Here is a 17,155-nt window from a genome sequence, read left to right on the forward strand (position 1 = left end):
CTAGCCAGATTTGCTTCTAATCCAATAAACAAGCTGGTAGTATACAATTGCAACTGAACACCTGAATGGTCAAGGCGGAAAATCGTCTCTGCAGCACCATCATCTGTGAAATCCTGGAGGAATTCTCCTAAATCGCTACTTTCATGGACGATAGCTCCTACTTTCCAACAACCCAGGAGACTCTGAAATACAAAGTACTCTTTCTAAAAAGTTCAGTAGTTGATTTAACCAAATACTGATTGCCTTTGGAAAGTAAATTTTTGCTTACACAGGTATCATTACAGTCACCAAGAGAGTCTGGGTGTCTTCAGTAAGCAAACCCATTATTCATTTACAACCAACACTGCATTCCTCTTCCTAAGTGGCATGGGAAATCCTGAGGTGCTCTCACTTCTATGTGTAAGACACACAGACTGCTTTGCATGAGTCGAACCATGAGTGGTCAGGATGGACTTATAGCATCCCCCAGGTGAAATCTTCATGGTTCCTCTCCATCCGCACTGACTCCAACTCACCAACTGTGCTTGGAACAGCTTCGCGTTCCAACTCCCTGGAAATCTGTTGTCCCAAGCCAACTTGCGGTCACGAATCCAATCATATCCTTGTGCAGCTGAACATCTTTGACGAATCTTCGCCATTTTGTTTCACCCTTGCTTGCCCCAAGAGCCACTTCCCTTCCAGCTGGGTCAGCCAAAGACCTCTCTGTCCCTCAGTCTTCTAGCGCCCCTCTATGGTACTTCTGTTGTACTGCAAATAACGTATGCTAATCCTCCTTTCATTGTTCCTCATTTCTTCCCAACTACTCTTTGCTACCCGCAGTAAGTAAAGCACCAACTTTACCTAAATTGCACTTTTCATTTTCTCTGTAACAATGATCTTCCCACTTTTGGTTTGCTTACTTACCAAAACATGGAAAGCTAAGTACCCATTCACATATTTTGTAAATGTTCTCTCAAATTTTTCATCATAAATTTAAATAATTGCAAAAGGTGATGTTTCCGGTGTATTGTAAATAACAACATTTAAAAACAAAACTGCTGCATGTTTTTATAAATTCGTCCAATGAAAGTTAAATACCCTAGCAACTTGGTTTGCAACTATTTAAAAACACATAAATGAACATTTAACATACATGCTACATCGTTGCTTTTTTTAGGCATCAAAAAGAATGCCCCTCACATAATTTACCATAATAAAATATATCTTTATGCTATTTTAATCACCCTGTAATACTCTCCGCAACTGACATATGTATGTTATTTGAAATATGAATTTACTTTTAATTGCTTGTATCCATAATCCTCTCATCCATATAATTTCTTCTAGATTGAAGTAGCCATTGAAATTATTGGTAGTATACAATTGTTCCAAACAACATATATATTACAAAGTTCAATAAATAACTAAATTGAACATAAAAAGTAAAATTTTATTGGACATATGTCTTTTAATAAAATGAGAATTTTTTCAATTAGTTCACTAAATAATAATAATTATTTTAATGAGACACAGCTCAGTATCAATTTTACTCATGTTTTTTATTTTTTATAAATGTAAGTACTGAAAAAACCTAGTCCTATAAATATGTATAGAAGGAATTTTATTATAGCAATATAATTTAATGATTTGAACTCTTTTTAAGTTACATAGCAAAAATTCCACAAGGAACCATCTTCAAGAGTCATTTTTAGTAATTTGCCAACTGGCTACTTTTATTGGAAACAAGGAATTGGAAGCCACTTGAGTTGCAAAAGGTCTATAATCTGACAAAATCGTCCACTTTCTGAAATCTGGAAAATACAACAAAAAGGCTTTATCCAAAGTTGTCAAGTGATTGATATGTCTTGTTCACTTTCAGGAAACTTGTTTAACCCAATATATACAGAAAGGTTTGAAAAACTCGAAATAATATTGACTTGAAATGTGGAAGGGATAGCAGGCACCATGTCCAGCCATGAAGGTGGCAAGAAGCCCCTGAAACAGCCCAGAAAGCAGACCAAGGAGATAGAAAAGGAAAATAAAGGTTTTTCAAGCAGAAGCCAAAAGTGGAGCAAAAGAAACTCAAGAAGCTAAAAGCAAAGGCTACGAGGAAGGGCCCCAGGCCACAGGTGGAATTAAGAAATCTGGGAAACCATGAACTGTTCCTTATGCCTGAGGCAATGGTGCCCCTTGATTCCATTCATATTTAAAGATCTGCCATAACATGTCTTGCCACCTGGCTAGAATGAAATGTTGTCTTGGAGCCTGCTGTACATTTAAGAATAAACTATTGTAAAAAAATTACACTGTCATACATTTTTCAATAAAATTATTTTATCTTCATTTGTGTTTTAAATGCACTTGCAGGTTTTACTCATTCAACAAGTGGAGAATCCTTGTCAAATTAAGTCAGACAGCCAAGTCAAGTATTGTTGAAGAAAAAGTCTGAAATTAAATAAGTATTGAATTAAATTTAAGATTATTACATGTGAATTCTAAATACAAAATAGGAAAGAGAAGAAAGGAAGGACATATAGGGATTTTTTTCTTTTAAGAGAGAGAGTCTCTGTTGCCCAGGGTGGAGTGCAGTGGGTGCTATCCACTAGTGGTTCTAGTAATCTTCTTGTTTCAGCCTCCCAAGTAGCTGAGACTACAGGTGTGCACCACCACACCCAGCTGACTTTTCTTTTGTACAGATGTGGTCTGACCTTGAAATTTTAGCCTCAAGCAATCCTCCCACCTTGGTATCCCAAAATCCTAGGATTACAAGCATGAGCCACCACACCTGGCCTCAGAAATAGAACTTTGTTATGAGTGTGTTACCTGGATGCAATAAAGTGCTATAGTCGTGTGTATGTGTGTGTGTGTGTGTGTGTGTCCAGGTCTTATTCTGTTGCCCAGGCTGAGGGCAGTGACACAATCACATGTAACTGCAGCCTTGACCTCCTAGGCTCAAGCGATCCTCTTACCTCAGCCTCTCAAGTAGCTAGGACTACAGGCATGCACCACTACACCTGGCTAATTTTTGATTTATAGAGACAAGGTCATGCTATGTTGCCTAGGCCAGTCTAAAACTCCTGGACACAAGCAGTCCTCCCACTTTGGCTTTCCAAAGTGCTGGGATTACAGGTGTTAGCCATTGCACCTAGTCCAGTGCTATAATCATTAATATTCATTCAGCAAGTATGTGTTGAATGAATGTACCAGAGCCTAGTTCCTAGGGATATAGCAGTAATCAAAAATAGATGAAAGTCTTTGATATAATAGCATTACCATGAAAAGAGATGGAGATTACAGGTGAAGTAGGTATTAGGGAAAAGATAGTTCTCTTTTAAATATTTTGTTTGAGATGATTATTAGACATTCAAGTGGAGCAATCAAATATGCAATTTGAGTCTGGAGTTCAAAGAAAAATTCAAGGTAGCATCATAGATTTGGGAATTTTCTTCATACAGATGAAACTGGATGACATTATGGAATGAGTGTAGATAGAAAGGACTAGAGACCCAATGTTAAGATAAATAGGAGAAGAGGATAAAAAGGAGACTAAAAAACTGTAGCCAATTAGGTAAAGAAAAACATGAAAAAAGTGTTATCCTGGAAGCCAAGGGATGAAATGACTTCCAGGAAAGTAGTGGTGATCAACAATGTCATATGGCATTTAAGTTCAAGTAAGACAATGACTTTAGGCTTTGGACTTGGCAAAATGAAGGTCATTGGTGACCTTGACAAGAAAGGTTTTAGAAGATGATGCAGTAGATGGAGTTTAGGACACAACACCCCAAAATATGGTACCTTGACACTTGAAGAAACAGCAGAAACAAGAAGGTCATTGTCTTCTTGACAGTTGAAGAAACAGCAGAAAAAAGGTCATTGTCTTCTTACATTTTGTGCTGCTACAGCAGAATACTACAGACTGGATAATTTATAAAAAGTAGAAGTTTACTTGGCTCATGGTTCTGGAGGCTGGGAAGTCCAAGATTGAGAAGCTGCGTCTTGTAAGGGCCTTCTCACTCCATCATAACATGGTGGAAGACATCACATGGTGAGAGAGAGCAAGAAATGTCCTAACTAGATTCTATACAAACCTACTCTTGGAATAATGAGCCAATTTCTGTGAAAATGACATAAATTCATTCATGAGGGCAGAGCCTCAAGACTTAGTTATCTCTTAAAGGTTTCACTTCTCAACACTGTTGCACGTGGGATTAAATTTCCAATACATGTTTTTTGGAGGACACATTCAAACCATAGCAGTCAGGCTCACTTTTCCCTCCCTCTTCTCCCTTGAAGTAGGTAAAAAAAGAATTCTCTGACTTTCTAATGTAAGTTTAGGTCATAAAAACTTTATCCTGAGGTGTCCACCCTGTACCTTGAGGAAAGAAATAACTTTATCCTTGAAGATACAGAGATGCCAAGAAGAATCTGAATAAACAGGTCTTGCTAAGTTCCCATCAGTTTTTTACCATTAGATCATGTCTTTTTGTCCTCCAATCATATTTCTGCATGACTTTTCACAAAAAAACACAGGTTTCCTGCTTTCTTTTAGTCTTCATTTCAAAGGCTCTCAGCTAATGTAAAATGTATATTAAACAAATTTGTATGGTTTTCTTTTGACAATCTTTCCTTTGTTATAGGGGCCTCAGCCATGAATCTTGGGATGGGTGAGAGGTAATATTACTTTTCTCCCCCATGCAGGAAAAGATTCAGTTGAGTGAGTTTAAGACAGAATGCAAGGAAAAGAACTGGAGACAGTGAGTTGAGACACTCTCCTGAGGAGTTTTGCTGTAAAGGGGAGCAGAGAAATGGGACAATACACACCCAGTAGGAGAAGTGATATTGAGAGGTTTGTTTTGTTTTTATGATAACAGAAATAGCAGTTTGTTTATATATTAATTAGGAATGGCCTAATAGATGGCAGAAAATTAATAATCTGGGAAAGAGGGGAGAATGCTTGGAATATTATCTATGCATAAGCTAGGGAATGGAGTCTATCATGCAAGTGGAAGCATTGGTCTTTTGCCTGTACCTGAAGAGTTTAACAGAAAGAAGGTAGAGTATGCAGATATAAATTGTCAGTAGATACATTGACAATAATGATGGTGAGAGCCTGTGAAAATTCTCTTGTGATTGCCTCAGTATTTTCATTGAGACTAGGAATCCAAAGGGAGATGTTGGTGACTTGAGGACTAGGAAAATTTATAAAACAGTCATCTACAAGAATGGCTGTATTAATCCATTCTCATATCGCTACAAAGAAATATCTGATACTGGAAGCATGATGCTGGCATCTGCTTGGCTTCTAGGGAGACCTCAGGAAACTTAAACACAGCAGAAGGCAAAGGGGAAGCAGGCATGTCTTACATGGCTGGAGAAGAAGCAAGGCGGGGGAAGGTGCCACACACTTTTAAATGGCCAGAACTCCCAAGAACTCACTCACTATACAGTGCCAAGGAGGGATGGTGATAAACCATTCATGAAGGATCACCTCCATGATCCAGTCACCTCCCACTAGGCTCCACTTCCAGCACTGGGGATTACAATTTGACATAAGATTTGTTGGGAACACAGAACCAAACCATATCATTCCACTCCTAGCCCTCCAAATTTCATGTCTTTCTCACATTGCAAAATACAATCATGCCTTCTTAACAGTACCCCAAAGTCTTAACTTCTTCCAGCATTAACTCAAAATTCCACATTCTTATCTGAAACAAGGCAAGTTCCTTCCACCTATGAGCCTGTAAAATCAAACACAAGTTGGTACCTCCAAGATACAATGAGTGTACAGGCACTGGGTAAATACTCCCATTCCAAAAGTGAGAAATCAGCCAAAAGATTTCATGCAAGTCTGACCAAAAACCAGCAAGGCAGTCATTAAACCTTAAACCTCCAAAATACTATCCTTTGACTTCATGTTTCCCATCCAGGGCACACTGGTGCAAAGGATGGGCTTCCAAAGTGTTGGGCAGCTCTGACCCATGGCTTTGTAGGGTTCAGCCCCTGCAGCTGCTCTCATGGGCTGGAGTTGAGTGCTTGTGGCTTTTCCAGGCACACAGTGCAGGCTGTTGGTGGCTGTACTGTTCCAAGGTTTGGAGTATGGTGGCCCCCTTCTCACAGCTCCACTAGGTAGTGTCCCAGTGGGGACTTTGTGTGTGGGCTTCAACCCCATGTTTTCCCTCTTAATTGCCTTAGTAGAAGTTCTCTATGAGGGCTCCATCCTTGCAGCAGACTTCTTCCTGGACAGCCAGGCTTTTCCATACATCCTCTGCCATCTAGTTGAAGTCTTCCAAGCCTTCATTCCTTTCTTCACACATATGAGCATAGGCTGGTTGAAGCAGCAAGGCCAGATCTTGACTGCTTTGCAGTTTAGAAGTTTCTTTCACTAGATACCCTAAATCATCACTCTCAAGTTCAAAGTTCCACAGATCCTTAGGGAAAGGGCACAATCCAATCAAGTTATTTATTAAAGCATAGCAAAAGTGACCTTTACTCCAGTTCCTAATACATTCCTCATTTCCATCTGAGACCTCTCAGCCTGGACTTCATTGTCCCTATCACGATCAGCATGTTGGTCACAACAATTTAACAAGTCTCTAGGAAGTTCAAAATTTCCCCTTATCTTCCTGTCTTCTTCTGAGCCCTCACCCTTCCAAACTCTGCCTATTACCCAGTTCCAAAGTTGCTTCCACATTTTCAGGTATCTTTATAGCAATGTTCCACTCCTTGGTACCAATTTTCTATATTAGTCCAGTCTCACATTGCTATAAAGAAATACCTGAGACTAGGTAATTTTTAAAGAGGTTTAATTGGCTTACAGTTCCACAGGCTGTATAGGAAGCATGATGCTGGCATCTTCTTGGCTTCTAGGGAGGCCTAAGGAAACTTACAAACATGGCAGAAGGCAAAGGGCAGCAGGGATATCTTACACGGCTAGAGAAGGAGCAAGGGAGCAGGGAGGTGCCACACACTTTAAACAACCAGATCTCATGAGAACTCACTCACTATAGAGTACCAAGTGGGGATGGTGCTAAACCATTCATGAAGAACCACCTCCATGGTCCAGTCACCTCCCACCAGGCCCCACCTTCAACACTGGGGCTTACAATTTGACATGAGATATGGTGGGGACATAGAACAAAACCATATTAATGGGACATTAAACTCAGACTAGGAAAATGTAAACTATTTGTCAGGAAGCCTTAAGAGAACACTTAGGATTTGTGAACTTTAAAGTGGTGCTAATCAGCAGTGCTGGCACAGAATCCTTCTGCTGTGTTAAGCCACATTGACATAGGCATAGAGTAGAGGAGAAGTTGGATTTAACAATTGTTAAATAGACAGTAAAGGATAGGAGAGTCAATGGATTAGGGTCAATATTTTCTTATGGATTCTCTATTTGCTTTGCTCTCATATGATAGTAATTCAAGAACGATGCAAAAATTATTTTATTCCCACTCACTCTGTACTATGTTTGAACCCACAGCATCCAAAAGTGGGTCAAAATCTTTAGTTCCAAAGTCATACTTTGTTGGTCTATTGGATATAAGACACAGAAAGAAATAAGATACAAACTGTAGATATATAAATCAGATCCATGATTGACAGGGTCTGGGAGAGAAAGAGGTCAGGCTGCAAAGGAGAAAGAGAGAACTTTTTGATATATTGGATGTGTTAGTCTGTTCTTGCATTGCTAGAAAGAAATACCTGAGACTAGAAAATTCATGAAGAAAAGAGGTTTATTTCAGCTCATGGTTCTTCAGGCTGTACGGGAAGCATAGTGCCAGCATCTGCTTCTGGTGAAGGCCTCAGGAAGCTTCTACTCATGATGGAAGGCAAAGAGGGAGTAGGCACATCACATAGTGAGAGAAAGAACAAGACAAAGGGAGGAGGCAAATGCCATACTCTTTTAAAAAAAAAACATATTTCCCCAGAACTCACTCATTACTGTGAGAAGGGCATGAAGACATTCATGAGGGATCTGTCCCCATGAACAAACACTTCCCATTAGGCCCCCCACTTCAACAATGTGGATTACATTTCAACATGAGATTTAGAGGGGACAAATATCCAAACCATATGAGTGGAAATGTTCTATAACTTGATAAGGGTTATTATTGTTTGACAACATGGATTTGTTAATATTCATTGAACTGTACATAAAATGTAGTAATATTTGCTGTATATATGTTAGAACTCAATAACCCTGAAATGAAACTAACCCTGCATGAAAATAAACATATAAGTATCACATATGTGAGTATGTATATATACATGTGTGTATATATATATATATATATATATATATATATATATATATATATATATATACACTCAATAATAAAATAAGAAAGAAGACATAAGACAGGCCTGGCAGCTCACGCCTGTAATCCCAGCACTTTGGGAGGCCAAGGTGGGTAGATCATGAGGTCAGGAGTTCGATACCAGCCTGGCCAATATGGTGAAACCCTGTCTCTACTAAAAATACAAAAATTAGCCGGGCATGGTGGTGCACACCTGTAGTCCAAGCTACTCAGGAGGCTGAGGCAGAAGAATCTCTTGAACCCAGGAGGCAGAGGTTGCAGTGAGCCAAGATGGCACCACTGCACTCCAGCCTGGGCAACAAGAGTGAGACTCTGTCTCAAAAAAAAGAAAGAAAAGGAAAGGAAAGGAAGGAAGGAAGGAAGGAAAGAAAGAAAGAAAGAAAGAAAGAAAGAAAGAAAGAAAGAAAGAAAGAAAGAAAGACAAACATAAAAACATGTGAAGACCTCCCATGATTCTTTGTTTAAAGAAGGCTGTACAGACTCCAATATTTCAAACTGTCTCTTTGATCACCAAACAAACTTAGTTTTACAGCCTGAGGCAATGAAATATAGTAAGATCAGGAATGAATGGGAGATATGCCTTTCTTTCTTTTTTTCTTAATCATTATTTTTAGTTGACAAATAATAATGGTATCTATTTATGGTATACGGTGTGATATTTTGATACTGTTAATTAGCATGTCCATCACCTCAAACATTTATCATTTCTTTGTGTTAAGAATATTCAAAATCTTCTCTTCTAACTATTTGAAAAATATACAATAAATTGGCCAAGCGCAGTGGTTCCCACCTGTAATCCCAGCCTTCAGGAGGCTCAGTTGGGTGGATCACTTGAGGTCAGGAGTTTGAGACCAGCCTGGCCAACATGGTGAAACCCTGTCTCTACGAAAAATACAACAAATTATCTGGATATGGTGGCAGGCACCTGTAATCCCAGCTACTCGGGGAGCTGAAGCAGAAGAATCACTTAAAGCTGGAAGGCAGAAGTTGCAGTGAGCCGAGGTCACATCATTGCACTCCAACCTCAGCAACAAGAGTGAAACTCTGTCTCAAAAAAAATAAATAAATAAAATAAATAAAAAAGGAGTTCCAAGATGGCCAAATAAGAACAGCTCTGGTCTGCAGCTCCCAGCATGATCGACGCAGAAGACGGGTGATTTCTGCATTTCCAACTGAGGTACCTGGTTCATCTCATTGGGACTGGTTGGACAGTGGGTGCAGCCCACAGAGGGTGAGATAAAGCAGGGTGAGGCATTGCCTCACCTGGGAAGCACAAGAGGTCTGGGGATTTCCCTTTCCTAGTCAAGGGAAGCCATGACAGACTACCTGCAAAACGGGACACTCCTGTGCAAATACTGCACTTTTCTCAAGGTCTTAGCAACCAGCAGAAAAGGTGACTCTCTCCCATGCCTGGCTCAGCAGCTCCCATGCCCACAGAGCCTTGCTCACTGCTAGCACAGCAGTCTGAGATCAAACTGCGAGATGGCAGCCTGGCTGGGGGAGGGGCGTCCACCATTGCTGAGGCATGAGTAGGTAAACAAAGCAGCTGGGAAGCTCAAACTGGGCAGAGCCCACCCCATATCAACAAGGCCTACTGCCTCTAGACTCCATCTCTGTAGGCAGGGCTTAGCTGAACAAAAGGCAGTAGACAAATTTTGCAGACTTAAACGTCCTTGTCTGACAGCTCTGAAGAGAACAGTGGTTCTCCCAGCACAGTGTTTGACCTCTGAGAACAGAGAGACTGCCTCTTCAAGTGGGTCCCTGACCCCCAGGTAGCCTAAATGGGAGACACCTCCCTGTAGGGGCTGACAGACACCTCATATAGGCAGCTGACTCTCTGGGACAAAGCTTCCAGAGGAAGGATCAGGCAGCAATATTTGCGGTTCAGCAATATTTGCTGTTCTGCAGCCTCTGCTGGTGATACCCAGGCAAACAGCATCTGGAGTGGAACTCCAGCAAACTCCAAAGACCTGCAGCTGAGGGATCTGACTGTTAGAAGGAAAACTAACAAACAGAAAGGAATAGCATTGACGTCAACAAAAAGGTCATCTACACCATAACCCCATCTGTAGGTCACCAACATCAAAGACCAAAGGTAGATAAAACCACAAAGATGGGGAGAAACCAGAGCAGAAAAGCTGAAAATTCTAAATATCAGAGCACCTCTTCTCCTCCAAAGGATCGCAGCTCCTTGCCAACAACAAAACAAAGCTGGACAGACAATGACTTTGATGAGTTGACAGAAGTAGGCCTCAGAAGGTCAGTAATAACAGACTTCTCCAACTAAAGGAAGATGTTCAAACCCATCGCAAGAAAGATAAAAACCTTGAAAAAAGATTAGACGAATGGCTAACTAGAATAAAGAGTGTAGAGAAGACATTAAACGACCTGATGGAGCTGAAAACCATGGCACGAGGATTTCGTGATGCATGCACAAGCTTCAGTAGCTGATTCAATCAAGTAGAAGAAAGGGTATAAGTGATTGAAGATCAAATTAATGAAATAAAGCAAGAAGACAAGGATAGAGAAAAAGAGTAAAAAGAAATGAACAAAGCCTCCAAGAAATATGGGACTATGGGAAAAGACCAAATCTACATTTGATTGGTGTACCTGAAAGTGATGGGGAGAATGGAACCAAGTTGGAAAACACTCTTCAAGATATTATCCAGGAGAATTTCCCCAACCTAGCAAGGCAGGCCAACATTCAAATTCAAGAAATACAGAGGACACCACAAAGATACTCCTTGAGAAGAGCAACCCCAAGACACATAATTGTCAGATTTGCCAAGGTTGAAATGAAGAAAAAAGTTTTAAGGGCAGCCAGAGAGAAAGGTCAAGTTACCCACAAAGGGAAGCCCATCAGACTAACAGCAGATCTCTCGGCAGAAAACCTACAAGACAGAAGAGAGTGGGGGCCAATATTCAACATTCTTAAAGAAAAGAATTTTCAACCCAGAATTTCATATCCAGTCAAACTGAGCTTCATAAGTGAAGGAGAAATGAAATCCTTTACAGACAAGCTAATGCTGAGAGACTTTTGTCACCACCAGGCTTGCCTTACAAGAGCTCCTGAAGGAAGCACTAAACATGGAAAGAAATAACCAGTACCAGCCACTGCAAAACAGGCCAAATTGTAAAGATCTTCGATGCTATGAAGAAACTGCATCAATTAACGGGCAAAATAACCAACAAACATCATAATGACAGGATCAAATTCACACATAACAATATTAACCTTAAATGTAAATGGGCTAAATGCCCCAATTAAAAGACACAGACTGGCAAACTGGATAAAGAGTCAAGACCCATCAGTGTGCTGTACTCAGCAGACCCATCTCACGTGTAAAGATGCATATAGGCTCAAAATAAAGGCATGCAGGAAGATCTATCAAGCAAATGGAAAGCAAAAAATGGCAGGGGTTGCAATCTTAGTCTCTGATAAAACAGTCTTTAAACCAACAAAGATCAAAAGAGACAAAGAAAGCCATTACATAATGGTAAAGGGATCAATTCAACAAGAAGAGCTAACTATCCTAAATATATATGCACCCAATATATGAGGACCCAGATTCATAAAGCAAGTCCTTAGAGACCTACAAAGAGACTTAGACTTCCACAGAATAATAACGGGAGACTTTAACACCCCACTGTCAATATTAGACAGATCAAGGAGACAGAAGGTTAACAAGTATATCCAGGTACTGAACTGAGCTCTGCAACAAGCAGACCTATTAGACATCTACAGAACTCTCCACCCCAAATCAACAGAATATACATTTTTCTCAGCACCACATTGCACTTATTCCAAAATTGACCACATAATTGGAAGTAAAGCACTCCTCAGCAAATGTAAAAGAGCAGAAATCACAACAAACTGTCTCTCAGACAACAGTGCAATAAAATTAGAACTCAGGATTAAGAAACTCACTTAAAACCGCACAACTACATGGAAACTGAACAACTTGCTCCTGAATGACTACTGGATAAATAACAAAATGAAGGCAGAAATAAAGATGTTCTTTGAAACCAGTGAGAACAAAGACACAACGTATCAGAATCTCTGGGACACATTTAAAGCAGTGTGTAGAGGGAAATTTATAGCACTAAATGCCAAGAAGAGAAAGCAGGAAAGATCTAAAATTGACATCCTAACATCACAATTAAAAGAACTAGAGAAGCAAGAGCAAACAAATTCAAAAGCTAGCAGAAGGCAAGAAATAACTAAGATCAGAGCAGAACTGAAAGAAATAGAGACACAAAAAAACCCTTCAAAATATCAATGAATCCAGGAGTGGGTATTTTGAAAAGATCAACAAAATTGATAGACTGCTAGCAAGACTAATAAAGAAGAAAAGAGAGAAGTATTAAATCGATGCAATAAAAAATGATAAAGGGGATATCACCACCAATCCCACATAAATACAAACTACCATCAGAGAATACTGTAAACACCTCTATGCAAACAGACTAGAAAATCTAGAAGAAATGGATAAATTCCTGGATGCGTACACCCTCCCAAGACTAAACCAGGAAGAAGTTGAATCTCTGAATAGACCAATGACAGGCTCTGCAATTGAGGCAACAATTAATAGCCTACCAACCAAAGAAAGTCCAGGACCAGATGGATTCATGGCCGAATTCTACCAGAGGTACAAAGAGGAGCTGGTACCATTCCTTCTGAAACTATTTCAATCAGTAGAAAAAGAGGGAATCCTCTGTAACTCATTTTATGAGGCCAACATCATCCTGATACCAAAGCCTGGCAGAGACACACACACACACACACACACACACACACAAAAGAGAGAATTTTAGACCAATATCCCTGGTGAATATCAATGCGAAAATCCTCAATAAAATACTGGCAAACTGAATCCAGCAGCACACCAAAAAGCTTATCCACCATGATCAAGTTGGCTTCATTCCTGGGATGCAAGGCTGGTTCAACATAGGCAAATCAATAAATGTAATCCATCACACAAACAGCACCAACAACAAAAACCACATGATTATCTCAATAGATGCAGAAAAGGTCTTCAACAAAATTCAACAGCCCTTCATGCTTAAAACTCTTAATAAACTAGGTATTGATGGAATGTATCTCAAAATAGTAAGAGCTATTTATGACAAACCCACAGCCAATATCACACTGAATGGGCAAAAACTGGAAGCACTCCCTTTGAAAACCAGCACAAGACAAGGATGCCCTCTCTCACCACTCCTATTGAAACTAGTGTTGGAAGTTCTTGCCAGGGCAATCAGGAAAGAGAAAGAAATAAAGGGTATCCAATTAGGAAATGAGGAAGCCAAATTGTCCCTGTTTGCAGATGACATGATTGTATATTTAGAAAATCCATTTTCTCAGCCCAAAATCTCCTAAAGCTGATAACCAACTTCAGCAAAGTCTCAGGATACAAAATCAATGTGCAAAAATCACAAGCATTCCTATACACCATTAATAGGCAAACAGAAAGCCAAATCATGGGTGAACTCCCATTCACACTTGCTTCGAAGAGAATAAAATACCTAGGAATCTGACTTAGGGATGTGAAAGCCATCTTCAAGGAGAGCTACAAACCACTGCTCAATGAAATAAAAGAGGATACAAACAAATGGAAGAACATTCCATGCTCCTGGATAGGAAGAATCAATATCGTGAAAATGGCCATACTGCCCAAGGTAATTTATAGATTCAATGCCATCCCCATCAAGCTACCAATGACTTTCTTCACAGAATTGGAAAAAACTACTTTAAAGTTCATATGGAACCAAAAAAGAGCCTGCATTGCCAAGACAGTCTTAAGCAAAAAGAACAAAGTTGGAGGCATCATTCTACCTGACTTCAAACTATACTACAAGGCTACAGTAACCAAAACGGCATGGTACTGGTACCAAAACAGATATACAGACCAATGGAACAGAAGAGAGGCCTCAGATAAAACACCACACATCTACGACCACCTGATCTTTGACAAATCTGACAAAAATAAGAAATGGGGAAAGGATTCCCTATTTAAAAAATGGTGCTGGGAAAACTGGCTAGCCACATGTAGAAAGCTGAAACTGGATCCCTTCCTTACACCTGATACAAAAATTAATTCAAGATGGATTAAAGACTTAAATGTTAAACCTAAAACCATAAAAATCCTGGAAGAAAACCTAGGCAATACTATTTAGGACATAGTCAAGGGCAAGGACTTCATGACTAAAACACCAAAAGCAATGGCAACAAAAGCCAAAATAGACAAATGGGATCAAACTAAACTAAAGAGCTTCTGCACGGCAAAAGAAACTACCATCAGAGTGAACAGGCGACCTCCAGAATGGGAGAAAATTTTTGCAATCTACCCATCTGACAAAGGGCTAATATCCAGAATCTACAAAGAACTCAAACAAATTTACAAGAAACAAACAACGCCATCAAAAAGTGGGCAAAGGATATGAACAGACAGTTCTCTAAAGAAGACATCTATGCAGGGAACAGACACATGAAAAAATGCTCATCATCACTGGTTATCAGAGAAATGCAAATCAAAACCACAATGAGATACCATCTCAGGCTAGTTAGAATGGCAATCATTAAAAAGTCGGGAAACAATAGATGCTGGAGAGGATGTGGAGAAGATGTGGAGAAATAGGGACACTTTTACACTGTTGGGGGAGTGTAAATTAGTTCAACCATTGTGGAAGACAGTGTGGCAATCCCTCAAGGATCTAGAACTAGAATTACCATTTGACGCAGCAATTCCATTACTGGGTATAAACCCAAAGGATTATAAGTCATGCTACTATAAAGACACATGCACATGTATGTTTATTGTGGCACTATTCATAATAGCAAAGACTTGGAACCAACCCAACTGTCCATCAGTGATAGACTGGATTAAGAAAATGTGGCACATATACACCATGGAATACTGTGCAGCCATAAAAAAGGATGAGTTAATGTCCTCTGCAGGGACATGGATGAAGCTGGAAACCATCATTCTCAGCAAACTATCACAAGGACAGAAAACGAAACACCGCATGTTCTCACTCATAGATGAGAATTGAACAATGAGATCACTTGGACACAGGGAGGTGAACATCACACACCAGAGCCTGTTGAGGGCTGTGGGCTGGGGGAGGGATAGCATTAGGAGAAATACCTAATGTAAATGATGAGTTGATGGATGCAGCAAACCAACATGGTGCATGTATACCTATGTGTCAAACCTGCACATTGTGCACATGTACCCTAGAACTTAGAGTATAATTAAAAAAGGAAGAAAAAGAATATATACAGTAAATTATTGTTAACTATAGTCACCCTATAGCCCTTAGAACACTAGAAATTATTTCTCCTATCCAGCTGTAATTTGTAACCATTAACTAACCTCTCCCTATCCCTCCCGCTTTCCCAGCCTCTAATAACCACTATTCTACTCTCTGCTTCTATGAGATCAACTTTTCTGGCTTCCATATATTAATAAGAACATGTGTTATTGGCCTTTCCATTCTCAGCTTATTTCACTTAACAAAATATCAAATGGCAAAAAGCTGATTGTAAAAGGGAAGTTGAGAAAAGACAGCTAGAATGACTTTCACCTTGGACAGATCAATTTTAGAAAAAGTAATGAAGATAGACCTTTATAATCTAAAAAAAAATCCCCTAAGTCTCTCTTACCCACTTAACCCCATTGAAGAGTTTTTGTGCACACTAGTGGTAAAAGTTAACCAGTTTGTTGATAGCTAATCTAAAGAAGGTAGACACTGGAGTTTCAAATGGCTCAACCATTTCCTAGTTATAAAGTACAAACAAGTAGGCAGAAAAGAGAAATGTAATAAGTATTTATTGACCCCACTTCGTGTGAGGCATTTGGGCTAGATGCTTTCACATATGCTCCATGATTTCAGTCCTGACATTCACTCCAAAAGAGAGGAAGCATGTATGAGCCTCCACCACAATGCTGACATGCAAAAATTATCTCAAGTACTTTTTTTACTGCTACTTATGCAGTAGTGCTAACCCATAGGCAGTGCACCCAGAGTAGCCATGTACTTTTTAAATTCAAGTAGAATTTGGCTTAACCCCACCTGAGATGGCTAAAAATCAGCCCTCGCTTAATTTTCTTCTTCCTTTCCACAGTAACCCCATATTTCCAAACAAAGCTCTGGGCAGTGGTGGTCTTGAGGAAGGGGGATGTCTAATACACAAAGAAACATAATTCCCTTAGGATCCAGAAAGCACAGAACACAAGGGATGGATAAAGGGAGTGGGGATCTGGTTAGAGAAAGGGAAAATTACCTTCAAATCTTCCCATTTTCTATAGTATTGAAAACAAAACATGACAGCAATTAGCATCTCAGTAGATTTTTCAATGACAATAGGTTCTCATTCACAATTTTGAAAAAACGGAAATCCAACGAATTTAAGCAATTTTCCTAAGGATACACAGCTAATTAATAAACAGTACAGAAATAAGGCCAGAATATGGATCTTGTTAAAAAAAATTATTCAGTGACACTCATTAAAGCATCTTAAGGAAGACATGATTCAGCACCATCACGATAGGTATAGCGACTATGGCAACAAGGTCATGCAGTAGGGGAGAGAGATTAGACCCAACTCCAAATTCAGCACGAGCAAGGTGGAATTTACAGCCAAGGAGCAGGGTGGGGTCAGTGGATGGAAAATTACTAAGAGGAAACATTAGTGGTAAGAGGGATTCTGGCTCAACTGACCTAACAGTATTCTTGCTGAAGACAGGCCAGGTAGTCAGACATTGCCTGGGAGATAGCGGAAGTTGAGGAACCCAATCAGATATTGAGGGTGATCAGATATCAAGGGTGGGGGTTCTTTCTGAAACTGG

The 17,155-nt window shown here is 39.7% G+C and overlaps 1 pseudogene; it reads left to right on the forward strand.

Annotated features, from left to right (window-relative positions):
* Positions 1-1,944: 1,944 nt before the first annotated feature.
* Positions 1,945-2,462, forward strand: LOC112267948 (translation machinery-associated protein 7-like; annotated as a pseudogene).
* Positions 2,463-17,155: the final 14,693 nt, after the last annotated feature.

This window comes from Homo sapiens, chromosome 5, assembly GCF_000001405.40.
Source record: "Homo sapiens chromosome 5, GRCh38.p14 Primary Assembly".
In the NCBI taxonomy this organism is placed as follows: Eukaryota; Metazoa; Chordata; class Mammalia; order Primates; family Hominidae; genus Homo; species Homo sapiens.